The sequence below is a fragment of the Homo sapiens genome, chromosome 3 (genome assembly GCF_000001405.40).
Source record: "Homo sapiens chromosome 3, GRCh38.p14 Primary Assembly".
NCBI lineage: Eukaryota > Metazoa > Chordata > Mammalia > Primates > Hominidae > Homo > Homo sapiens.
In genome coordinates, this window is record NC_000003.12 from 158,801,942 (window position 1) to 158,829,716 (window position 27,775).

The 27,775-nt window shown below is 37.8% G+C and overlaps 1 protein-coding gene across 8 annotated transcripts; it reads left to right on the top strand.

Annotated features, from left to right (window-relative positions):
* The first annotated feature begins 112 nt into the window (after positions 1–112).
* Positions 113–27,775, top strand: MFSD1 (major facilitator superfamily domain containing 1). Of its 8 annotated transcripts, none has more exons than NR_110328.3 (16): positions 113–374; positions 2,378–2,430; positions 5,099–5,141; positions 5,455–5,522; positions 7,238–7,346; positions 12,024–12,126; positions 17,708–17,806; positions 18,274–18,385; positions 19,656–19,712; positions 20,043–20,199; positions 21,487–21,584; positions 22,183–22,295; positions 23,237–23,360; positions 24,074–24,121; positions 25,339–25,396; positions 27,038–27,775. NR_110328.3 is itself a non-coding variant. In NM_022736.4 (16 exons), exons 1-16 carry the CDS (start codon positions 212–214, stop codon positions 27,039–27,041), a joined length of 1,398 nt encoding a protein of 465 aa, NP_073573.3. In that variant the 5' UTR covers positions 113–211; the 3' UTR covers positions 27,042–27,775. The 8 variants fall into 8 exon arrangements, 7 of the variants coding, with proteins under 7 accessions (NP_073573.3, NP_001276336.1, NP_001276335.1 ...); NM_022736.4 differs by lacking the exon at positions 23,237–23,360 and adding an exon at positions 3,421–3,533; NM_001289407.3 differs by lacking the exon at positions 23,237–23,360 and adding an exon at positions 3,421–3,533 and having other exon boundaries at positions 113–343.

Genomic DNA, 27,775 nt, shown 5'->3' on the forward strand with positions numbered 1-27,775 from the left:
CGAACCGCGCCAGGCCCTGTCATCGACCGCTGGGTCCGTCCTCCCAGCGCTCGCGGCCGCTCACATGGGCGTGGCCCTGCGTGACCTGCCGGGGCGTCACGTGAGCTCCCGGAGTCATGTGACCGCCGTCTTGACAGTGTTCCACGGGCGCTGCTTCCTGCCTGGGTTTGGAGTTGTCACCACTTTCCCCTCTCCGTCTCCTGCGGGCGCAATGGAGGAGGAGGATGAGGAAGCGCGGGCGCTCCTGGCAGGCGGCCCTGACGAGGCCGACAGAGGTGCCCCGGCCGCCCCTGGAGCCCTGCCGGCCCTCTGCGACCCCAGTCGCCTGGCGCACCGGCTTTTGGTGCTGTTACTGATGTGCTTCCTTGGCTTTGGTGAGCCGGCCGGGTGGGTTGGGGCTGATCTTTAAGGAATTCCCGACTTTCTCTTCGAGGTAGATCGTCATCGTGGTCACTGGTGCCACGGGGCCTCAGCGCAGCTTCTGTCTTAAGCTCCTGGGCCTCCTTATTTTCCCCTTTGCGATCGATTCCAGCCACACCTGTGGATGTTGCTAGTTACTCCGCGTCCGGAACGTGGAGGTCGAGGGACTGAGCTGGGCGAGTTTTGTGGCACTCCTTTGCTCTTCAGTAAGTCCCAGGGGCTAGCGACTCGCCCTAGAGGCGATAGATATGAAGGTAACTCCAGATTTTCAAGGTTCCTCTTTTGGCACACGTGGTCGGAGGAAATTCAGAAAGCTTTAACTGTTCCTAAACAACTTTTGTTTGTTTGGTTTTAGGTGAGACAGGGGCTTGCTCTGTCACCCAGCCCGGAGTGCAGTGTTGTGAAAGTGGCTTACTGCAGCCTCCACCTCCTGGGTTCAAGCAATCCTCCCGCCTCAGCCTCCCGAGTAGCTGGGACCACAGATGGGGCGCCACCACACCCGGCTTTATTATTATTATTATTTTTAGACACAGGGTCTTACAATGTTGTCCAGCTTTTAAAAAACGTGAATGATTTCGTCGGCAGTCTTCTATATATTTTTCACCCTCTTTGAGAAAATGTATGAGTGTGTCTTGCTGATAGCTTCAGTGAATAGATATTGTTCTCTTAATCTTCCACTCTGCCACTGTGAAGCAATCATATTGGACGGGACTTGTGGTAGTCTTGACAGTGGTTGGTTTCTCTTATGAAATCTGATGTCTCCGAAAACAGTTTCTTGATAATTAGAAAAAAATTTTCCTTCCTATGTTACAGTTTTTAATTTATTAAGCAAAATTCTAATATTAATTTGGTATGAATGTGTTTTTCAGGAGGCTAGCTGGAGCCCGTGTAATCAGCAGGTTTAAGAACATTATGGTGGATAACTATTCTAGCGCTGAACATATAAGTAGACATGAAGGATGCTTTGGGCTTTGGTTTCCTTGCAACTCCTTTTTCCCCCCTCCCCTGTTTTTTAAAAGATGATGCCCATCCATTAGCTTTAAAGCAGGACGTTGAATCCTTAAAAGAGATTAAAGCAGGGTTTAGAAACAACCACCACCACAACAAAGAAAGAACAACAATAAAACATTAAAAAAAATGGTCCCCACTCAAGCAGACAGACAGTTTTTGGTAAATTCTGGTTATCTGCCTAGAATTCAGAAGCCAGATTCATTCCTTTCTAATGACAGTTTTTATTGTCATTAGAACCAATAGCCTCGTGCACTTGTAGAGTTAGTAGAGCTATGGAGGCAATATTTTCTTGTAGCCTACGAAGGAATCTCAATTATTTTATCTTTAAAATAAATCCGAGTGCATGGTCAGATCTCTCCCTACTTCTCTCTTTCCAGTTCCCCCAAAGACATGTTTTAATTTAATCCTTTAGAATTCTCAGTTTCATTTTTTTTTCACTCCTGGCCCTGTATTCACTAAATTATTTGATTTTGGGTAGTTTGTAGAATTAGAGAACTTGTTTCAAATATTGGTTTTGTCAGAATGGTTACACTCCATTCCTTTGTCCTTAAGCTAACATTATTAGGAAACTGATGAGGTTGTAAAGTTTTTAGTGTATGTGTGTTTGTAAATAAGGAAATAAATAAAATATAGATGCTTCATGAAGATATTAATAAAATAGTATATGTGTGAAGCATGATGAAAGTAAAATAGAAAAATATTTAATTGTTGGTTGTTGACTTTTTAATTCAGGTTCCCAGTATTTGCTGTGTATGAACACTACCAATTTATGGAAGTTATTTGATATAACTTAGAAAATACTGGTGGATAAGGAAGTGGTTCAGAAATATTTCTGTAGTGTCAACCCGTAGTATCAGCATTTAAAATTGTAATTTCAGTAGCAACTGCAACTTGAAACTTTTATATGGGAAGTATTATTACTTATAAAGTATTTGCTCTTTTCTAGGCAGCTATTTTTGCTATGATAATCCTGCTGCCCTTCAGACTCAAGTTAAACGAGTAAGTTGATTTTTCACTCTTGTTTCTTTTGTTTTCTTTAGAGCAAGTGTAGCGGTGGAGGCATTATCAACCCTCAGGTGCCCTAGTCTCACGTGTCCGCTGAATCTATTTTGACATCTGTAGTCACCAAATCCACAAGTTGCAAGGGGTGTTCTTAAGTTGAAATGAGTTACCACAAATAATTCATTTATAGCACATATGTGACTTGAAATTGTTTCAGACCTTAGATAAATAATTATGTGGTATTTCCACAGTATTGTCAAAAATATGAGCAGGTTTTTGTTTGCATTTCACTCTCCCAGTGCTTAGTCACCCGAATGACAAATGATTTGTTAAGATAGCTTTTTGCCTTCTTAAATAGGTTTTAGTTGTTATTTTGTTTTTTAAATGTGGATACTGATTGCAGAGGATTGTCCATGTCAGGATTTTTAGTCTGGTTTTGTATTGTAAGAACATACTTGATATTTACAGTTTTTTGGGTATTTAGTCTCTTTTCTTTGTAGGTTCTTTTTAACCTTTGGACAGGGAAAATGCATAGGTTGACCCTTTTCATTCTAGAATGAAAGAGAAAGGAAGTAGGAGGAGCATGCTTGAGGGGATGGAGAGGGTAGGGTAGGTAGGGATAGGCTAAGATTATCCTTGTATATGTGGGCAGAGTCCCCAGTGCAGGTAGTATATAGAAGTTATAGTCAGACAGAAGTGGTCCCTGTAGCAGGGTGTCTGATCCTGGAATCCAGGAAGCCCCTGAAATGGCATGTGAACTCAAGAAGTTCCCAGGGTTCCCAGGTGTGACCATTTTCCTGGGCCAGGGGCCATAGCTTTCATGAGATTCTCAAGGAAGTTAGTGAGACTTATAAATGGTTAAAAAAAACTTGCCCTTTACAGAAAGAAGAATGTAACTACTTTCCACTTTAGATTGTCATATTTTGATTTGTTAGTTGCTAAACTTAACTGTTTGGAAAAAAATAGTTTTATTTTCTTTTCATATAGGATATGCAAGTGAATACCACGAAATTCATGCTGCTGTATGCCTGGTATTCTTGGCCCAATGTAGTTTTGTGTTTCTTTGGTGGCTTTTTGATAGACCGAGTATTTGGAATACGGTAAGCTTGAAAAGAAACTATGGGTAAATCTTACCTGATTGTTAGAAAAATACAGAGCTAGATTAAGGTATTTCTAGAAAGAGCTGAATAAACTTCTGTATTAACTAATAATTTGCTTGAGTTTTTTAAAAAAATGATTTTTATATCTCTGGAGTTGGTTTTTGAAACGTGGTATTTCAGTTAAGGTCAGGACTAGTAAATGCTGATGGTATAAGGTAACTCAGTTATCCATAGGAAAATTATACTCACCCTTGGGATCAGGTAAACCAGGTTCTGAATCTTATCGTTGCCACTTTCTCATCTTCCTGGCTGTTCTGAGCTGTTTGCAGCTTCCTGAGCTTCAGTTCTCTCATTGCCAAAATATAGATGATTCCTACCTTGCAAGGTGGTTATGAGGATTAAGTGAGAGATGGATGTACAGTATTTGGCACATAGGTAGTATGTGCTTCCTCCAGCCCCGGTGAGATTTTCTATTTCTGCTTTTCTTGGGGTGTAAAACATTTTGTGACCACTTCTGTTAGAGGCTGAGCAGGGAATAACACTATAAGGTTTGCCACTGTTCATCCTTATTATTGTGTGTATGTTGTTAGTGGAACTGAAGAGGAATATAGACTGGGAATATTTTCAGAAGGCAAAGACCAAGATGATGAAAGGTCTTCAAACCATGTCTGGTGGATAAAGATTAAAGAAACTTTAAGAGTTTACACCTGGGGACTAACCTTTAAAATTTTTGAAGAGTTAAAATATGAAGGAAGAATTAAATTTATTTTTTTTGATCTCAAGAGAGAGAATTAGCTTGAAACTTCTGGGGAACAGATTCCTTTTAATATGAGGAGTTTGCTTGGTCAGATTGGCAGGAGATGACAAGAATTGTCTTGGAACCATAGTAAGTTTTCCAGTGCTAGAGAACATTGCTAGAGAACATTCAGTAGAACATGGCATGGTCATTTCACAAGGATCTTGAGAGAGATTTAAGTTTAAGAAGTATGGTTTACCCTGATGGCCTTTAAGGACTCTTCTAATACTGGCATTTTATTATTCTAGGGCAACATTAATCTGATGTCCAGATTGTAGGATGTTAGATTTGTATAACATGGTTGGTGTTTGTCCTTTTAAAAATTGGTTTTAGTTATCAAGAATTATAACCACTTAAAATTACTTACTGTAAAATTCCTTGGAATCAATCCTAAACTCTTAATAGAAATTTTATGAAGAATTTACATTTTTAAGTAGTTTTGACCCTGGGAACTTCTTGAAGATTAGTTGATTAGTTTTATTTAAGAGATGATAATGATTTAAACTAATATATGCCATTGCTAAAGCCTCCGGAATCCCCTTAGAAGTCTAGACTTCTGTAGATTCATATTTAGCCTGAGAGTTGCTGGCTTCAGAGGGAGATGAGCCCTTTATTTTTCTTTCTTTGGAGGGAATACAGAGGGAGGCAAAGAAAACCAAAGTGAATTATTACTAAAGGACTTTGTGATTACTAATACTAATGTAAACAGAAATTAAGATTTTTTTTTTCTTTTTCTTTTTCTCATTCTCATTCTTTCTTTCCCAAACAGATGGGGCACAATCATTTTTAGCTGCTTTGTTTGCATTGGACAGGTAAGGAAGGCCAAAACATTCATTGATTATTGACAGTGACTTCTAAATTCTTATCTAATTAATTCCATTGGCAAAGCTGTGTTTAATTAATGCCTAGCTTAATTAAGCAGAACCCATAAATGCCCATGTGATATAATCCATAGTCTATTTTAAGCCTTGAAATAAATGAACATTAATATTTTAACTTCACAGATTTATTAAGGAGAAATATTAAAACTATTGTAGAAGTTGAGATTTATCATGTTCCTTTTGCTTCTCTTTAATACTTTGAATTTACTTTTTCATTAATTTGACATGAACTTCTACATTATAGGTTGTTTTTGCCCTGGGTGGAATATTTAATGCTTTTTGGCTGATGGAATTTGGAAGATTTGTATTTGGGTAAGTTATGCATAATTTAATTTATCCTAATGTATTATTGTTTTAGTGTTCATCTATGAAAGATCTTTAAAAAACCTTGTCTCTTCTGGGGAATTACTTCAAATCTTTGAAACCTAGCTTCATATGCATAAGAGTATTTCTTAGTTGTCTTAGTTTTCCTTTAAAATAAGCAACAATTTTGAATGGTCCTAATCAACTCTGTGTGGGGTTTGAGTATTAAATAGTTCTCTGGAAATGATATTTTTCCCAGGCATTTTGCCTGTTCTGTTGTATTAAAGACTATGATTTGAACCACATTTAGAAAAGTATAGACCATCGATTTCTAGGTTGGTGACTGATGGACATTTCACTCTTTCTTAGCAAGTGATGCGAGGGTCCTTTCAACCCTGTCCAAGAGCTTTGCTTGAATGAGCACAATATGTGTAAGCTGACTATTCTGTGTGAATTCTTATAGACCAGTTGTTCTACCTGAATTGCATTGTCTGTTCAGTAAGCCTATTCTGAGACCAGCCTTGGGCTTGCTGCCCTGAGGGACCCAGATGACAGAACTGACTCAGTTTTAAAAGCATAACTTATTCAAGCTTTGCACAGGTGTCAGGAGCATGTAGACATAGGTGACATACCCCAAAAAGTAACCGTCAGTGAGAGAGAAGGAAGAAGAATGTATGTAAAGTTATGACAGGGATTCAGAAACAGAAATGTGGTCAGAAATGGCCTTACAGATGAAGTAGGCCTTGACAGAAGTACAGGATTTGGATTATTAGAAGAGAGGGAAAATATTTTTGGGCTAGGACAGAGTCACAAGAAATAAGACTATTTCTTATTTGTCTTAAGACTGTTTCTTAGTCCTTAATACTGAGGTGGCCTCGGTGTAAGGATATGGAGGAAGGAAGCTCCTAACTGAAGGCCCTTGGAGGAGAATCGTAAATATTGAAACTTACTGAAGGAAAATTAAAACCCAGGAAGTAGGAGAGTGTTGAATATGGAAAGTGAATGTGGGGATTGATTGATGGAGAGCTTTGCATATTGTTCTGAAAAATGTGAGTTTTTATGTTTTCACAAAGCATGGACCACTTTTCCCACATCTGCATTTTATATAATATCGATGGTAATGTAGTAACCAAGACGACTCCTTTTGTTGCCTATCATGGTTATTATTGCAGTATATCATGTGACTCCCACACTTAGCGGTATAAAACTACCATTTCATTATGCTCATGGACTTTATGGGCAGGAATTCGGACAAAGTGTAGCAAGGACAGCTTGTCTTTGCCTCTAGTGTCTGGGGCCTCAGCTGGTAAGATTCATGGAAGGGTGGGGGCTGGGATCATCTGAAAGCTTATTGACTCACATGTTTGGCACCTGGACTGGGATGCCTCAAAGACTGGGACTGCTGACTGGGGCACTTACATGTGGCCTCTCTTTGTGGTTTGCTGTCTCATAGCATGGGGGTAGTGGTTCAGGGCTCCAAGTGCGAGTGTCGGAGTGAAAAGGTGATGTCACCTTTTATAACTGAGCCTTGGGATCACACTGTCTCATTTCCACCATATTCTATTGGTTGAAGTAGTCACAAGCCCACCTGGATTCAAGGGGAGGGGACAGAGGCCCCATCTCTTGATAGGAGAAGTGCCAACATTTTAAACCTGCTGCATTGCTAACTGTAGTATTTCTTTAAAGTTGTGACTTCTGGTTTTTTTTTTTTTTTCTATTTTTAGGATTGGTGGCGAGTCCTTAGCAGTTGCCCAGAATACATATGCTGTGAGCTGGTTTAAAGGCAAAGAATTAAACCTGGTGTTTGGACTTCAACTTAGCATGGCTAGAATTGTAAGTATAATGAAAAGCCTGATGAAGCCAAATGGAAGCAAAAGATTAAATCTTATAGTTCTCTTAAAAATCACAGGATGAAATGTATTTGTGTATGGTAAATTAGATATTAACTTTTATGGATTTCTCTAGAACACAGCATGGCATTTACCTTGAGTAAAGCATTTCTAACCTTATTTCATCTAGTAAACAGTCTAAAATGGTTGTGTACATTCATTAGTTCAAAGAATCTGAGCATAGGGAGAGATCCTGTAAGTTTTGTTGTCTAATTTCTTACCCATTTTTGGCATCCCTGCTAGAACCTCTCCACATACGGCTGTCCAGGTTCAGTTTGCAATATTTCCAGGGATTGCAAGCTTGCTCTGTGATGAAGCAGCCCACCTACCTTAATGAACTTTATGAAGCGTAACCTCACATAGCGATGAAACCTCCATTTACAAGTAGCTTTTACTGATGGCTCTGACTTTTGCTCTCTGTAGATAAAGTTTACTTCCTCTGCTGTGCATCAGCACTTTGCTCCTTTGTAGACAGCTCTTAAGTTCTTGGTTATGTGTGCTCATTTCCTGTGGTTGCCTGAGCCATATGACATGGATCTCAGCTCCCTTACCATGGTGCTTATGCCTCTCTGAACTTATCTCAGTTAGCCAGTACTCCTGTTGGCATTTGGAACTTAGAAATGATCATGGTGTTTCAGGTTTGGTCTTAGAGGCTACCTAGCGGGAACAACATTATGGGTTTCGTTTGTTTGTTTGTTTGAGACAGGGTCTCACTTTGTTGCCCAAGCTGGAGTCCAGCAGTGCAATCTTGGCTCATGGTAGCCTCGACCTCCCAGGTTTAAGTGATTTTCCCACCTCAGCCTATAGAATAGTGAGACTACAGATGTGTACCACCATGTGCAGCTAATTTTGTGTATTTTTTATAGAGACAACACTATGTTTTTATTAATGCAAACTATAAGGTGTGTTGGCATTCCCAAATCCCATTAGGTTTTTTCTCTCAAGAATTCCCATGAATAGAGTATTAAAAAAAAATTTTTTTTGCCACTAAAAATCAAGCTTTCAAGCTTTGATTTTTAGTATATGTGCTGCCAAGGCGAGCAGAAGCTTTGACTTTTAATAAGTGTCGTGAAAATACAACATAGTCTCAGAGAATAAGAAACTCAATATAAAAATATTTTCATATAATACTTCATCATATGAGTATTTCTGTATTTTTATACATGTAAGTTCTTTCTGATTTTTCACTATTATAAATAGTGCTATAGTCTGACACTCTCGCTATGAAAGTTCTGTGCATCTCTTTTAGTCTCCATAGGCTAAGTGGCTAGGAATGGAATTATTAAGTCAGGGTATTTGTTAGGTCATCTGAGGACTATTGAGAGATATTTCCGCATTATCATTCCAGAGACGTTTACATCCCCACCTGTGGGATATGAGAGGATCCCTTTTATTGTAGCATTGATAGTACAGGCTATTATTACTTTTAGAAAATTACTTTATCACTTTGATAGGAAACAGCTAAATATTTGAATTTGTAATTCTTTGGTAAATAGTGTGGTTTTCCATATTTTCTAAATTTTGCCTATAAGGATATTCCCAAAGCCTTCATTACGAGTCTTGTGCAAGTCCAGATATGTCTGTGGCAGTTTGTGAATCTAGTTGTCTAACAACTTTTTAAAGAAGGAAGTGAAATCAGTTGAGCAAGACTCAACTGACTTCATTCTGGTTACCAGGACATCAGGTTCTTTTCTGTGTCATTTTAAGTTAGCTATAATTCATTAAGCTGCATTCTGAGGAGCCCTAAGTTTCTCTCTTTCTCTGTGTATGTATTTTCTTTTGATGACAGAGCTACTAGGATTGCTAACGGAAAATATGTAGAGTGTGGGGGAAAAACAACGGAGGCGCTCAGGATGACAGCACAGTTTTTGCTTAAGCAACTGTGAGCGCTGTAACCTAGCTCTTGATACTCTGCCCACCATCCCCTAAACCAGCTCCTGCTGTACTTTTCACATCCTTAGTTAAAGGCAACTGGGTTTTGGTCGTGTTAGGTTAGACATGCCTGCCATTCATCCAAGTGGAAATGTTGAGTAGGCAGTTGCATATACAGGTGTAGAATTCAGGGGAAAAATCTGGGCAAGTGATGTAAGTTCAGGAGCAAGGAAAATGCTACTTAAAATGGCAAAACTTGGTAAGATCACCAAGACTATGGATGTTGAAAGAAAAGAGATGATGTCAATTGACCAAGCCCTGGGGCACTTCCCACATTTGCAGGTTGAGAAGATCGAGATGGAACCAACAAAAGGGCTCCATTGGGGTGGGCAGAAAGGCAAGGGGGAAACTATAGGCTGTGGTATCCTGAAACCCAAGAAAAGAAATCAAGGTGGAGAGGATGTCAACTGCGTGAAATGCTATTGATAGGTCAGACACTGCTGAAGACTGAGAAGTGTACATGCCTTCAACAATGTTCTCACAGCAAATACAGTAGCAAATTTCACATGGCTGTTTCTTATAAAATACTAGCTAATGGCATTACTCAAATAAGCAACAAGGTAAACAGAGACCTACTGGAAGCTTTCTCTAATACCATCAAAAATATAAATTCCTCAAAGATAGGATGTTGCCTTAATAATCCTTTCATTCCAAAATACCTATTAAATAACTATTTAAAATCTCTTTTAACTATTTAAAATATCTATTAAATAAAATAACATGACCTGGCTTAGCAAGTACTCAATAAATGTTTGTTGAAATAATGAGTTTTCAAGTAACAATAGTGAAGGAAAATTGAAAGGGTGCTGGATCTCCAGTCCCGAGCTAAGACATGAATACTAAGAAAAATGAGAAGTGCACTGAAGGTATATGGTATATGCTAATAGTTCAAGTGTCTAAACACAATCAAACTCAAAAACTCAGGCAATAGAAAAATCATGGAGAGGTAAACCCAGGACCTCTGTGGTCATTCTGGAGGCTGCACAGGGAACAAGAGAAGCGCAAAAAAGACGGAATCTATGTCACCCCCAGCAGCCCTATAATGGAATAGCTCTTGGCCATTTTGATCATAAAATCATCTTACATGGACGCTAAATACATAAATCAGATAAAAGTTGAGCAGCGTTGGCTGAAACTGAGGTGGCTGCCTGCGATCTGGCTCATTTCACCTCCTCAAGATCTCCCTACCACTCTCATAATCCCTAAACTGCCTCTAAGAAGCCCCTGAGATTCCCTTCTAGAAACTCAGGGCAACTTATATGCAAATATATCTATGCTCTGACCACTTCCCACCATGCCCACTGCTAACCACCTAGGGCTAGGCCCAATCATCTCTGTTCTGGATTATTGCTATAGCTCCCTAACTGGTGCCTTTGCTTTTGCCTTGTGGTCTGTTTTGAAGATAGAGTGAGTCTGCCAGTATGAGTCTGTCAAAGTATCATGCCACTTCTATACTCAAACCCCAATGGCTTCCCATCTCACACAGAATAAAAACTGAAAGTCCTCCTGTAGCTTCCCTTCCCACCATTTCCTCACTGGGACCTCATCTCATCCTCTCCGTTCTGTTTGCACTGTTCCAGCCTCTGCTCTCCTTGCCATTCCTTGAACTCTCCAGGCAAGCTCCTCTTGGGGCCTGTGCAGTGGCTGTTCCTTCTGCCTGGAGTGCTCCTCCCTCAGGTATCCCCACAGTTCGTTTCCTGCAAGTTTATACGCCAAAGTTGCTTTCAGTTGGGAGGCCTCCACTCCCAATTTTATATTCTCCTTTCCAGCTTTATTTCTTTCTTATTTTTTAAAAGTACTTGTCAATATTTAATATACTAGATATTTTACTTTTTTTTTTTTAACCAAAGTAAGTTGGATATTTTTATGCTTTCTTCTTTTTTTTTTTTTGAGACGGAGTCTTGCTCTGTCACCCAGGCTAGAGTGCAGTGGCATGATATCAGCTCACCGCAACCTCTACCGCCTGGGTTCAAGCTATTCTCCTGCCTGAGCCTCCTGAGTAGCTGGGATTACAGGTGCCCGTCACCATGCCTGGCTAATTTTTGTATTTTTAGTAGAGACAGGGTTTCACCATGTTGGCTAGGCTGGTCTCAAACTCCTGACCTTGTGATCCACCCATCTCGGCCTCCCAATATGCTGGGATTACAGGCATGAGCCACTGTGCCTGGCCACTTTATTCTTTATTATATTCCCAATACCTGAAACAGTGACTGGCATGTAATAGGGGCTCAGTAATTGCTGAGTGAATGAATAAATGAATGAAGAATCATCTATTATAACTTTTACTGTCCTCTTTATGGACATTCAGAGGAAGATGTTTTTCCCTCAGATTTCAGTGCCAGGAAAAGTTGTGCTTTTTCTGTTACTGGTATATTTTTGTCTTAGATACTCTAGATTTTATAACTCATGTTTCACTTTTGCTTTGGCTGGTAGGAAATTCTACATGTATTATGTTATTTTTTTATACTAGCAGTTTCTAATAAATTGGCTTTTTTTTTTTTTTTCTGCTGTCGTAACTATCTGTGGCTTTATCTTGGTTTGTCAATTTTTTCTTGTAGTGTCTTTTAAGGAAATTACCTCCTGTTCAATTTGGATCCTACTTCTGAGCCACCTCAAATCCCTTTTTTTGAACAAAGCAGAGATATATATGATTTAAAATGCTGTTGTTTTTTTTTCCCTTCTCATTTAGGGAAGTACAGTAAACATGAACCTCATGGGATGGCTGTATTCTAAGATTGAAGCTTTGTTAGGTTCTGCTGGTCACACAACCCTCGGGATCACACTTATGATTGGTGAGTGAATCCCATGTCCCACATCTCTCCTCTTCTGAAGGCTTGTCATAGGAAGTATCATAGCAGGGAGGAAGGCACACTGGAATTTGTATCTACTTTGGTTATAGTGTTGTCTCCATGGTTCTAATGAACTCTTTGACACAACTAGAAATAGGCTATCATTTACGCTGTTTGTATATTAATTTCCACTTTCTGAAAATGGATTTAAAATTTCTTAAAATGGATAGCCTTATTCCTTGTTGTCTACTTTATTTTATTTTTATTTGTTTTTGAGACAGAGTCTTGCTCTGTCGCTCAGGCTGGAGTTCAGTGGCGCGATCTCGGCTCACTGCAACCTCTGCCTCCCAGGGTCAAGCAATTCTCCTGCCTCAGCCTCCCGAGTAGCTGGGATTACAGGCTCCTGCCACCATGCCTGGCTAATTTTTGTATTTTTAGTAGAGATGGAGTTTCACCATGTTGGCCAGGCTGGTCTCGAACTCCTGACCTCAGGGGATCCGCTCACTTCTGCCTCCCAGAGTGCTGGGATTACAGGCGTGAGCCACCGCACCTGGCCTGTTGTCTACTTTAATATTGGCATTTGCATCTCATACATACAAAGAGATCATGTAAATAAAAACTTTTTGAGAACAACCTGAGAATTTATTCATGCATACAAAGAGATTATATGTGTAAAAACTCTTTGAGAACAACCTGAGAATTTATTCAGGTAAGATGTTAATTAAAAGTTTATAGCAGCCGGGCACGGTGGCTCACACCTATAATCCCAGCACTTTGGGAGGCCGAGGTGGGTGGATCACCTGAGGTCGGGAGTTCTAGACAAGCCTGACCAACATGGAGAAACCCGTCTCTACTAAAAATACAAAAATTAGCTGGGCGTGGTGGCACATGCCTGTAATCCCAGCTACCCGGGAGGCTGAGGCAGGAGAATCCCTTGAACCTGGGAGGTGGAGGTTGAGGTGAACTGAGATCACGCCGTTGCACTCCAGCCTGGACGGCAAGAGCAAAACTCTGTCTCAAAACAAACAAACAAAAAAACAACCAACCAACCAACCAAACAAAACGTCCATAGCATAAGGGAGAATTGCTTCCTTTTAATCAAATACTGACTTTTTCCGTCAGTGTGCCTGGAAAGCTTAGATTTTATGGAGGTTTGATGTGATATGATATGGTTGAAAAACCACTAAGTTGGGAGTCAGGAGCCCTGGCTCTAATGCTAGCTCTAACTAGTTCTGTCATCTTGGATAAGAAAGTTAACCTTCTGTGTCTCAGTTTTCTTTTCTTGTAGTGTCTTTTTTTTTTTTTTTTCAAGTTTAAGCCACTATTATATTTCAAGTATCTACAACAAGAGCTCAATACAATTCCTAGCATTTATTACCCTTCCTAAAATAGGCATATAGAATTGTATCTTTCTTTCCCATAATCAGAAAATAGCAATAACATACATATATACACATGCATATAAAAATGTGTATTTAAAAATGTTTGGTAGAAAAGGTACCATAATTACCAAAATACAGATATTATTTATATCATTTTCTGTTTCTATTTCCTTGTACTTTTCAAGTAGACTTTTTTTTTTCTTTTTTTAAATTATTATTATTATACTTTAAGTTTTAGGGTACATGTGCACAATGTGCAGGTTAGTTACATATGTATACATGTGCCATGCTGGTGTGCTGCACCCATTAACTCGTCATTTAGCATTAGGTATATCTCCTAATGCTATCCCTCCCTCCTCCCCCCACCCCACAACAGTCCCCAGAGTGTGATGTTCCCCTTCCTGTGTCCAAGTGTTCTCATTGTTCAATTCCCATCTATGAGTGAGAACATGCGGTGTTTGGTTTTTTGTCCTTGTGATAGTTTACTGAGAATGATGATTTCCAGTTTCATCCATGTCCCTACAAAGGACATGAACTCATCATTTTTTATGGCTGCATCGTATTCCATGGTGTATATGTGCCACATTTTCTTAATCCAGTCTATCATTGTTGGACATTTGGGTTGGTTCCAAGTCTTTGCTATTGTGAATAGTGCCGCAATAAACATACATGTGCATGTGTCTTTATAGCAGCATGATTTATAGTCCTTTGGGTATATACCCAGTAATGGGATGGCTGGGTCAAATGGTATTTCTAGTTCTAGATCCCTGAGGAATCGCCACACCGACTTCCACGATGGTTGAACTAGTTTACAGACCCACCAACAGTGTAAAAGTGTTCCTATTTCTCCACATCCTCTCCAGCATCTGTTGTTTCCTGACTTTTTAATGATCGCCATTGTAACTGGTGTGAGATGGTATCTCATTGTGGTTTTGATTTGCATTTCTCTGATGGCCAGTGATGATGAGCATTTTTTCATGTGTCTTTTGGCTGCATAAATGTCTTCTTTTGAGAAGTGTCTGTTCATGTCCTTCGCTCACTTTTTGATGGGGTTGTTTTTTTCTTGTAAATTTGTTTGAGTTCATTGTAGATTCTGGATATTAGCCCTTTGTCAGATGAGTAGGTTGCGAAAATTTTCTCCCATTTTGTAGGTTGCCTGTTCACTCTGATGGTAGTTTCTTTTGCTGTGCAGAAGCTCTTTAGTTTAATGAGATCCCATTTGTCAATTTTGGCTTTTGTTGCCATTGCTTTTGGTGTTTTAGACATGAAGTCCTTGCCCATGCCTATGTCCTGAATGGTAATGCCTAGGTTTTCTTCGAGGGTTTTTATGGTTTTAGGTCTAACGTTTAAGTCTTTAATCCATCTTGAATTAATTTTTGTATCAGGGGTAAGGAAGGGATCCAGTTTCAGCTTTCTACATATGGCTAGCCAGTTTTCCCAGCACCATTTATTAAATAGGGAATCCTTTCCCCATTGCTTGTTTTTCTCAGGTTTGTCAAAGATCAGATAGTTGTAGATATGCTGCATTATTTCTGAGGGCTCTATTCTGTTCCATTGATCTATATCTCTGTTTTGGTACCAGTACCATGCTGTTTTGGTTACTGTAGCCTTGTAGTATAGTTTGAAGTCAGGTAGCATGATGGGACGTGTCTCAAAATAATAAGAGCTATCTATAGCAAACCCACAGCCAATATCATACTGAATGGGCAAAAACTGGAAGCATTCCCTTTGAAAACTGGCACAAGACAGGGATGCCCTCTCTCACCACTCCTATTCAACATAGTGTTGGAAGTGCTGGCCAGGGCAATTAGGCAGGAGAAGGAAATAAAGGGTATTCAATTAGGAAAAGAGGAAGTCAAATTGTCCCTGTTTGCAGACAACATGATTGTATATCTAGAAAACCCCATTGTCTCAGCCCAAAATCTCCTTAAGCTGATAAGCAACTTCAGCAAAGTCTCAGGATACAAAATCAATGTATAAAAATTTCAAGCATTCTTATACACCAATAACAGACAAACAGAGAGCCAAATCATGAGTGAACTCCCATTCACAATTGCTTCAAAGAGAATAAAATACTTAGGAATCCAACTTACAAGGGATGTGAAGAACCTCTTCAAGGAGAACTACAAACCACTGCTCAATAAAATAAAAGAGGATACAAACAAATGGAAGAACGTTCCATGCTCATGGGTAGGAAGAATCAATATCATGAAAATGGCCATACTGCCCAAGGTAGTTTATAGATTCAATGCCATCCCCATCAAGCTACCAATGACTTTCTTCACAGAATTGGAAAAAACTACTTTAAAGTTCGTATGGAACGAAAAAAGAGCCCGCATCGCCAAGTCAATCCTAAGCCAAAAGAACAAAGCTGGAGGCATCACGCTACCTGACGTCTTGTAGTGTCTTTTAAGGAAATTACCTCCTGTTCAATTTCTTTTTCTTGTAGTGTCTTTTAAGGAAATTATCTCCTGTTCAATTTGGATCCTATTATAATATAATTACAGTTGTTTCAACAAGACTATATAGGTCACTACTGTCCCTAAGTTCTCTTAGCTATGGCTCCATGGTGCTAGTTGCTGGGTGGGTCACTGGGAAGGGCACGAAGCCTTCTGGGTTTACCACTTTTGCTTTTTCTCTGGGCAGGCAGTTTGTCTAACTGAACCCTGTGGTGTGCATTTGGCTGTTTGCAGGGCTGTAGAGAGACCTGTGTGATGATAGGGTGAAAGTTCTGTGCCCAAGATGTGCACATCTTTTATTCCCTTTTTCCCTAATTTTTAAATTGACACATAATTATACATATTTATGGGTACAATTTGATGTTTCCATACACAGATACATTGTGTAACAATCAAATCAGAGTATGTAGCATATCCATCACCTCATGCGTCTATCACTTTTTTGTAGTGACAACACTCAAAACCCTCTCTTCTAGCTATTTTTTAATGTATAATCCCTTACTGTTAACCATAGTCATCCTGCTGTGCAATAGAACACCAGAATTTACTCCTCCTAATTGTAACTTTGTACCCCTTGATTAATGTCTACCTGTCTTCCTTTCTCCAATCTCCTCCCCAGTCTCTAATTAAACCACTGATCTACTCACTACTTCTATAAGATCAGGTTTTTAAAATATATATATATATTTTATTCCACATATGCATAGTATTTGTCTTTCTGTGTTTTATTCCTTATAATTCCTTGGTCGATACAGCCTGGTAAAAGAAGACAGTGGAGTGGTAATCCTAAGCAGGCAAGCATATTTAAAGATTCTTTCAAACTCTCCCTCTCAAATCCTTTGCCTTACTTAAAACCTCCTTTTTACTCTTAAAAGCTTCTTAGTATTCCATCTAATTTCCTCCACAATGGGAAATTTTAGAGTAAGACTTTTAGAGCCAGAAAAGACCTGTGCCATCATCAGGTCAAATCCTCTTATTTAAAACTGGGGAAATTGAATCCAAGAGAGCTTGTGTTCCATGTCCAAGGTGATTCAGCTCGTTAGAGCTCACGTCTACTGATGCTCATTTCAGCGAATTTTCAACCGGGCTGTGGTAGGGCAGTGAATTAAAGATTCATTTATTTTATTAAGCTTCTTTTGGAAATTCTTCCTGAGAAGTGTATCGTTATTCACTCTTTATCCTGATTTTCTGTAGTGATATGAGATTGGTATTAGAGAGAAATGCTGATCTCACAGGAAAGAGCTTGAGAGTACTGCGCTTTGGGAGGATGGGGCACTTGGGCTGCCAGAGGGCAGGAGCGAAGGCCGTGGACTCTGGGAAAACATCGGAAGGAAGAGAGATGAAGAGCCTAACTTGGCTTCATCATTTTTTCCCTGGTGTCCATTGACAATTGGTGCTTAGACTGAATGAAGAAATGAGGACTACATCAGTAGCTGCTCATCAGTTTTCTTCAGTCTGTATTCTGCATTACAGGACTAGACTAGTTTTTTCTAGTCTTTTCCTTTTAATCTTTAACTTTGAACTGTGAAATAATGCAGTAAAAGCTACTACTGTTTGCTGAGTATTTGAATGTACTCTTCCTCTTTTGTCCCGATTTAGTAATTGCAGATTTTTCTCGTGTCTTTATGTGACATCCCTTTCAGTTGCTGTTTTTGCTGTTTATGTAATGTACTTCTCCTTAGGAACCTTCTGTTTGGTTCTCTTTTCAAAGTCTGTTTTTCTTTTTTTTTTTTTTTTATTTAGGGGGTATAACGTGTATTCTTTCACTAATCTGTGCCTTGGCTCTTGCCTACTTGGATCAGAGAGCAGAGAGAATCCTTCATAAAGAACAAGGAAAAACAGGTAAGTCTAAATGAAAGAATGGGACTTAGGGGAATTACGGCCTTTGTGAGATTTTATAATGAGATCTAAGTTCCTAATGAAGTGTTGTAAAACCAGGTGGAGCTTAAGACATGATTTTTATTTTTTATTTCCAAATTGATTTCCACTTTTCTAAATTTTTAGATGTATTTTCTTTTCCCCTTAAATCTTTTGGCAGAATTTACATTCTCGATTGTATATTTGCAAAATGGTTATTCTTGGAAAGGAGCAGGAAAGGTAGATGCCAGTCTTAGTCTTAGGTTTTGCTTTTTCTTATGTCTTTGTAAGTTATCCCAGAAATGATGTTTGTGTAATTTACTAGAAAAGTATTTTTTTAAGTTGAATTGCAAAGATTAATCACAAGATTTTAAAAAATAATCTTGACTATAGATGAAAGCTCCTTAGGTATGCAAAATTATGCTGATAGTGTCTTCCCTTTCTTCTCTAAGGTGAAGTTATTAAATTAACTGATGTAAAGGACTTCTCCTTACCCCTGTGGCTTATATTTATCATCTGTGTCTGCTATTATGTTGCTGTGTTCCCTTTTATTGGACTTGGGAAGTGAGTATTCTCTATGTTTCCATTATTTCTTGTCTAAATTATCATGAGAGTTCAATCACATAAATGTAGTTTTTAAAGCAGTAAATCTTGCTTCTCTGGTTATAGTTTATATTTTCACAGGAATTACTTTAGATCCTGGGATATACATTTTCTTTTAGCTTAAGGTTTAGTATTGGTTTTATACTTTTATTATTCTTTTGAAGAAATACCTGTATTACTCCACTCTCATGCTGCTAATAAAAAACTGCCCCAGATAGGGTAATTTATAAAGGAAAAAGATTTAATTGACTCACAGTTCCATAGGGCTGGGAAGGCCTCAGGAAACTTATAACCATGGCAGAAAGGGAAGCAAACATTCTTCATTCACATGGTGGCAGGAGAGAGAAATGAGTGCCAGCAGGGGAAATGCCAGCTGCTTATAAAATCATCAAATCTCGTGAGAACTCACTCACTATCACGAGAACAGCTTGGGGGAAACCACTCCCATGATTCAATTACCTTCTACAGGGTCACTTCCATGACAGGTGGGGATTACGGGGATTACAATTCAAGATGAGCTTTGGATGGGGACACAGCCAAACCATGTCAATACCTAATAATTTTTGATTCATAATATTGATTTAATAGTTGATTTTAGACTAGTATTCTTTTTCATTCCCTCTTTATTCCTTGGTTAGAAAGGCTCTTACTGAGAATGGAGACTGTTTATTGGTGCACTGTGCCTGGGAACATCTCCATTGATTAGGACTGTAATTCTGCCAGACTTAAATTCTGGGTTCAAAGCAAATTCTTCTTTGCTTTATCTTCTACTTCTCTCTCCTTTTTCATTGGCAGCTGCTTAAGCAGCGCAATGTAAGTGTGTTTGTGTAAGGGTATGGTTTATACCCTTTGAGTTCAGGCTGTCCTTTTAAATAGTTTCAGACAAGAACCCTGTTTATTATTTAGCAAAGAACCCATTCAGTACTGCTTTTAAGGAAAAGAAGCAGCCTTAAGTCCCTGTGGTAGTATATTTGATTTTCTGAAAATTTGTGTGTATTCCTTACTGCATACCAGAAAAGGAAAAAAATATGCATCATATGTCATTTAGTCAGTAAACATTAATATAAATACTGAAGCTTTAGCAGATTGCCTGAAGGTGAATATAAATAAGGTGGGAGAATAATATCAAGAAAGAAGCTGATTAAACTTGAGTTATTTTTATTCAACTTTATTTTTTGAAAACAGAGTAGTTCTCTCTAATGTGCTAATTTCTCTGTCTTTTTAATTTTAGAGTTTTCTTTACAGAGAAATTTGGATTTTCTTCCCAGGCAGCAAGTGCAATTAACAGGTATTTTAAAATTAATTTTGTAAGTGCCTATTGCATGTGAAGTATGGGTCTTTATAATCAAATGTTAAAAGAAGCAAAAAAGATGTATGTGACCTAATATTTTTTAAGTGCGAAACTGGGACTACATTGGGACTTGAATCCTGAGTGGCTGTGTTTAAATTAGTGGAAAACCAAAGAAGTCTTGAACTGCTTTTTATATTTTTTGATGAGCATTTTATAAGAATGTTAAATGAGTTAGGATTTGCTTTGCCTGATATTTTCAAGACTTTCTTGAAACTGATGTTTGACTGTGTTGCATTTCATGAAATGTCTTATGTGTTCTCTGGGCAGTGTTGTATATGTCATATCAGCTCCCATGTCCCCGGTGTTTGGGCTCCTGGTGGATAAAACAGGGAAGAACATCATCTGGGTTCTTTGCGCAGTAGCAGCCACTCTTGTGTCCCACATGATGCTGGCCTTTACGATGTGGAACCCTTGGATTGCTATGGTAACGTCTGTGTTAGCCCATGGTGGGGTCAGGGCTTCAGCAAGGAGTCTGTCATGTTCATCTAAGTAGGCACGCTCAGCAAATTCAGATGACAAGGCCTATGATAGTGGGGAGATGACAACTTGATTCCAATATCTACAAAATAATTATTTTTTAAAGTATAATTATGAATTATTAACATATAAGGTATCTTTTAATTTCATTTGATTTATTTAACCAGTTAACTTCAGTGCTGAAAGAGAATTTGAAATAAAGTAGCCTTATAAAAGCCAGAATGCTTATTAGTCCCATTTGTTTTTCTAAAATAGGTGACTTAAAAGAAGGCATTCCATCATAGATGGCAAAAAACCAAAAATCTGTTGGACCAGTAACTCTTCTTTTTCTTTGACTTGCTTAGTAGGTTAAAAAGTGATAATGAATTCAAGTTTTTGTTATTGTTGTTCAAAACATCATTTTTAAGACCCGAGGCTCTAGTGCTGCATTTCCTACCTGTTAATAAAGGAATATCTGGAACATAAATATTTGTGCAGTGAGTGGGCATTTCTCTAGAAGTGTTTCAACAGATACAGTACAGACTCCTAGAAGTAGAGATGCTACAGCAGTGGGTTTGCGTATTTAACATCTTGGTTGAGATTGTGAAACTTTCTCCGATAACTTTCTACCCATTTATAACTTTAGTAATATACAATGTGACTTTTTTTAGTATCCTTGCTAGTATTGGGCATTGTCATTGTTTTAATCTTTGCCAATCTGATAGTTATAAGTGATACTCATTTAAATTTAAATCACAATATTTCTTTTTTAATTGAAGAAAAAATCAGCATTAGGTGAGGTTTACCAAGCATTGGTGGTGATTACTGGGTATTGGTGGCTCAGACGTAGGATGATGGACTGTTGGCATGATATTGCCTTGATTGCCTAATCTGTAACTCCTAATAAATACTGGAAAATTAGCTTGCCTGAAACATTGGTAAGAACTTTTTAAAAATTACCTTTATTTTCTTACTTGGTCCTTGACTGCATCTTGGGCCCCAGCCAGTTACATATGCATATAATATGATGACAAATGAAAATGGTTAAGACAGCATGTATCTTGTCGCTAAAAGGATACTCTTAGGGCAGAGACTTGTTTTGTATATTTTGAATACGAATTTTAGCCTAATAACAACAAAATTTGCTTGAATATATATATATTAACTACTCTGTCACTTTTGCTAATCTGCATTAAAGGAAAATCACCTTTTGGTTAATGTAAGACTGTGACCTTTTCTGCGTTGCTTTCTGTAGTGTCTTCTGGGACTCTCCTACTCATTGCTTGCCTGTGCATTGTGGCCAATGGTGGCATTTGTAGTTCCTGAACATCAGCTGGGAACTGCATATGGCTTGTAAGTATTTACGCTGTGGATCGTATATGTCTGTCTCTGCTATGTCAATTTAATTATCATATAAAACTCCAGATCTGAATCTAGTCGTCATCCAGCCTCTGGGGTAGCGCTGAACCTGGAGATAACTGGAAAAGTCAGTAAATCTATTTAAGATACTGTTGTGGCCACAAAAGAGCCTCCAGCAAGAGGGCTGGAGTAAGCTAACCCAGAAGAGGTCCTTGCTGACATTATAATCTCCCTGCCTGTTTATGTGAGGCTTCTTAGTGAGAAGCTGAGTCCAGTTCCTGGCACAGAAAGGCAGAGGGGGGAAACCGCACCTGTGGTTGATATTCACATGGCCCTTCTTTCATTCAGCACAAAGGTATTGAATCCACATTGCACTTAATGAGACAAGCTCCCTTACCTTTGAGCAGTCTAGTAGTGGAAATAGTTATGGGATAAAAACCAATCCAAAATCTAATCAAGTCATCCCTGGTGGAAAACATCTCTGAACACAAATAGTATATGGTTCACAGATACTAATATTTATAGTGAAGTGTTAGCCTATGTGTGAAGACTTTTGAAAATGAAATGTGTCTTTATATTTCTTCCATTGTAGCATGCAGTCCATTCAGAATCTTGGGTTGGCCATCATTTCCATCATTGCTGGTATGATACTGGATTCTCGGGGGTATTTGTTTTTGGAAGTGTTCTTCATTGCCTGTGTTTCTTGTGAGTATTCCGTATGACAACATTTTGTTTCTTTTACTACATAACAGAATGTTCTTATTTTTACTTAGGCATAGCTCCCAGATTTGCCTAATTCTCACCTGTGAATTAGAATTTCATAGCTGGTGACTTTCTAGCCCTCTGAAGATTCACAGGCATTTTTTAGGAGATTCCTATCCTTAAAGGCAGTGATTGAGTTGGTTTCATATTCTGTTTTAACTATTTACAGTTTAAAAAAAAAAAGCATTTTCCCACTTAAAGTGGAACAATTTGAAGAGTCCTGAGTATATCCTTAATGTGACTATGTGGAAACGTTGGTGTGATTTAGGTGTGAGTACTCATGGTTATTCATTAGGCAGTTTTAACTGATTTTTATTTTTAGTCCGTAATTTAGTTTTTACCTGTAATTTCATTGGTTTGAAATTGGAAGCATTAGGAAACTTGAAAAATATATAAAAATAATAGCATTTGTCCATAGGTAATCTTTACCCTACATATAAATTGTGTTTATCTGAAAAGAAAATTCTCCTTAACACATCAAGATGTCTTTTATAGTTCAATATTGTGCTTAAAATGACAAACCACAGTGATGATTTTATCAAACTTTGTTTTCATTTATAGGGAATAAAGACCATCCATACCTGAAGTGTGGTATTTGCAGATAATTGCTTATGAGTTGCCTTGAGTGCATTTTATTATCTCATAAATAAACGTGCTTGTTTTAGAAACAAGGACGTCAAGTTTTAAAAATAAATGTTTAAAAAAGTGGGTCATATAAGAATTTCAGACATTAAATCATAAAATGTTTTTTGTCTATTTTTGTTGTTGCAGCATGTGGTTAAATGTCAGTCCACAGTTCAACATGTATTTGGGTCTCAAAGCAAACAGTGTGCCGTTTGAATATGTTTTTCTGTTATTTTATTTTATTATTATTACTTTTTTAGAGACAGGATTTGTCTCTGTCACCCAGACTGGAATGCAGTGGAGCAGTCACAGCTCAATGTAACTTTGAACTGCGGAGTTCAGGTGATCCTCCCACCTCAGCCTCCGTGATAGCTAAGACTACAGGTGTGCACCACCATGCTTGGCTGGTTTTTAAATTTTTTTGTGAAGATGCTGTCTCACTGTGTTGCCCAGGCTGGACTTGAACTCCTGGCCTCAAGCGCTCCTCCTGCCTTTGGGATTACAGGCATGAATCAAAATAATAAGATAATAGGCCTGCCCTATTATTTTAAAGTAAATTAAACAGTGTTCTTCACTTATTAAAGGAAAAAGCCAAGGGAAAACTTGAATTTTGAGGTCTTGATTGATTTGAGTCTAATGATCACATTTTAATGTTTGGTTACTTGAAATTTGTAAAATGGACATGGCATTTTCAGACTTAAAGCCCCCAAAAGACTACTATTTGGCTTCCTCTGAAATGATAAACAATCGGGGGCTGGCAGGAGTTTTTGGTAAGTCCTGCAAAGGACCAGCACTGAGAAAGGGAGAGGAAAGAGGGGCAGGGCTGGGCTGTGGCTGGGTCGGCTCCCTTTTTTCTAGGGGCCTCAACTTCTTTGTTTCTGGCCTGCCACCCCTGGGCTGAGTAGCCCTTGGAGAAAATAGTGTGTAACTTATTTTTAGTGCTTTTGGAAAATAAAATAATGGGAATAATATTTTTATTTAAAATAGCAATTAATAAAGGTTTGATTGTGTCTAAGCTTTGCTTTGTGATTATGATTACATAGGAATCATTGAGAAGAAATACATATTTTAAGGGCCCTATGTTTTTTCACTCCTAGTGTCACTTTTATCTGTGGTCTTACTCTATTTGGTGAATCGTGCCCAGGGTAAGTAGAAGATCTGATATTTGCTTCTTAAACCGCAGTGGATCATCTTGTGGGGTCTCTGGGTCTGCCTCTTTGGGGGCCAGTGCTTTATTCCATGCAGTAATGACTTTCTGTTCATAATGATGGAAACACATTTGATTATGTAATATATAATTATGTTTTCTGGGCCTTCATATTTATTAAGATTGCTGTCATTTTTTAAAATCTAGCCAGATGAGTTTCTTAATAATATAAAATCTTAGATGTTATTTTTATATTAACATAAAGAAATATAGCATTTAAAAAGTAACCTAAAGCCCCTCTGTGTTATTGTCCTACGTTAAAAGAAATCAGAACTAAGCAAATTTATAGCTATAATTTACATTTTAAGGTTCAAGATGTTTGGTTTAGAATTAGAAATTACAGATTTTTTTTCTTTTGCTAATTCGTACTGTATGCATTAGTGGATTTTTGTTGTTGTTCTTGATAAGATTTTGATGTTGTCATTAGTAATTTTTCTAACTGCTTGCTCCTAAAGAGTTTTATATATTTAGTAGAATATAATATATATGCTGTGTAAATAATTTCAGGTCATTTCCTTTTTTTTTTATTTTAATAGTTTTTTTTTTCTTTTCTTTTTTTCTTTGACAGAGTCTCACTCTGTCACCCAGGCTGGAGTGCAGTGGTGCGATCCCAGCTCACTGCAGCCTCAACCTCCCAGGATCAAGTGATCCTCCCACTTTAGCCTCCCAAACAGCTGGGACTATAGGTGTATGCCACCACAGCCAGCTAATTTTAAAATTTTTTCTAGATATGGGGTCCCCCTATGTTGCCCAGGCTGGTTTCAAACTCCTGAGCTCAAGCAATCCTCCCGCCTTAGCCTGGGATTTACAGGCGTGAGCTACCACACCTGTTCATTTCCTTTAATTTCTCTTAATTTTCACTATTATTGAATATTAATACAGTGTCCTAAGTAACAACACTTGAAGCAATACATAAGTCCAAACTTAAAAAAATGCTTAAATTAAGGGGTGATTATTTATATCACACAAGAATTTCATTTTTTCCCTTTGGGAAGGTTCCAGTAGATAAACCATTACTTTTTCATCGTCGATAGCTTTTTCTATTACTTAAAATACAGTGTATCTATGCAAATGGTTGCATGTATGTATGTATGGTTGAAATTTACTTACTGATAATACTTATATGGAAAAGATCTATGTTTATTTGTGTTTTAGGTGGGAACCTAAATTATTCTGCAAGACAAAGGGAAGAAATAAAATTTTCCCATACTGAGTAAGTATTAAAAGGGTAAAAAGTTGTCTTTATTTTTGAAATCTTAAATATGAGCATTTCGTTTCAAGGTTTGGGCTTTGAAGTTTTTTTTTTTTTTTTTGATTCCCATGCTTGTCGTCCAGGCTGGAGTGTAGTGGCATGGTCACAGCTCACTGAAGCCTCAACTTCCTCAGCTCAGGCAATCCTCCCATCTCAGCCTCCCAAGTAGCTGGGACTACAGTTGTGTGTCAACATGTCTGGCTAATTTTTTGTATTTTTAGTAGAGATGGGGTTTTGCCATGTTGCCCAGGCTGGTCTAGAACTCCTGGGCTCAAGTGATCTGCCTGCATCGGCCTCCCAAAGTGCTGGGATTACAGATGTGAGCCACTGCGCCTGGCCTGGGCTTTGAACTTCTAAGAGATTAGTTTTCCTTGAGTTTTGAGAGCTAGCTATTATGTGTGTGGAACTATTATAACAACATTCTTGTTTGCTTCAGAAAATTTAAAAATGGATATTAAGGCTTGAAACGAAGAAAAAAAATAATTCAATTTAAGTTGTTCTCTGTGAGACAGAGAGAGACACAGAGAGAGAGAGAGGGGGAGAGAGAGAGAGAGAGAGAGAGAGAGGGGGAGAGAGAGAGAGAGAGAGAGAGAGAGAGAGAGACAGAGATCGATCTATATTACTTGTAATTTATTGGAGGAAAGGCCTTCGTCCTGAGGTCCTGGACTGGGCTTACCCTTCCATTCTCTCAGATATTTTCTTTTTCTTAAGTAGTTGATAATTTTTCATCTTCTTCTGGTACCAATATGTGGTTCTGTGTTCTCTGATTCATTTGGAAGAGATTTAAGTATATAGCATGGTGATTAAGTTAACATTTCTTTTTCTAAAAGTATGTACTGAAACATAATAGTGATTCTGTTTCCTGTTATTTCTAATATTTTTAGACATTGAAGTTTTTATGATTTTAAACATTTATTTGTAAATATATATACCATGTGATTGTAATTGTTGTGACTTTTGACTAGGTTAAAATCTGGTAGAACAGTCTGTTTTTTTGAGATGGGGGTGGTTTTGGTCATATTAAATTCACTTTTAACAAATACATCTTAAAATAATCAGAAGTATGAGTTTTGAATATCTTTATGATAGTCATATTATGTTAAAAGTTTGGAAACAACATAAATGTCTTAGAGTAGGGAAAATGGTTAAATATATCATGACACATCCATGTGATATGTTGTTAAAACCATGTTTTAGAAGGATTTTTAATGTCATAGATGCTTAACATGCCGTATGCTAAGTAAACAAAAGATAAAAATGCAAATATAATATCCTAATTTTATTCAAGAAAAAGTATGCTGTCACATGCTTGTTTTAAACCCAATTACTTATGTATAATAGAAAATATACTACTAGAAATAACCTCATATTAATTGAAACCTCAGAATATTAATTAAAAACTCAGAATATTTTTCAAATTTTCTACATTGATCTTTTGTGACTTTTAGGATCAAGAAGAGTTAAAAAATTGCTCAGAAAAAAAATGTGTAGCTTAGTATTTGCTATTACATGTCTTGTAATGCTTGGTTTTCATTTTATAAGGCAGGTGAGCTTCATGTTTTTTTCTTCCTCTTTGGTAATTTATTGCGTTATGTTTTGCAGATGAGAAGTTAAAATGAATGTGTCATGAGAATGGGCTTAACACATCGTTGGTTTGAAAACTTCCATTTTTAAAAATTTAGAGTTTAGTCATTAGAAAAAATAATGGACTGGAAAGTTATATTTATATCCAAATATACCTATTTCAAAGTGTATTTGTGAGGCCTGTTTTAGCCTGTGTCTTTTGTATTGTGTGTTGCTAAAGAATTCTACTTTTAGTAGGCTAATCAACAATGAAAGGGTTAGAAAATTGCTGTGGAACATCCAGGTGAACTTCAGGAAAGACAGTGAAAAATGGAAAACGTTGGAGCTTCTGTTGAGATAATCTTCATTAGGTATATATCTTAGGGATACAGCCTTTTCTTTATCTTATAGCAGGAAAAAAAAACTTTTGAGGGAAATAGAAGGGCTGCGTTACACAAAATAAACAATGGCATTGTCATAGGCCTTCCTTTTACTAGTAGGGCATAATGCTAGGGAATATGTGAAGATGTTTTTATGAAGTCTCTTTCTGATCACGAACAATAGCTTGCGCTCTACTCTGTAGTTATGTGGATTGCCGAGCAATGACCCTTTTCAATTTCTTATTTCTGTGTTACTGAGGACCCTAATCACTTAGGGATGTAATTTTATAGTATAAACTTTCTGTACAGTTTTTCTTATAGTCTAATAAGTAAAAAGTGTCCTTCAAATTATGATAATTGCCTATGTACATGGATAAATTAAAACACTGCACACGGA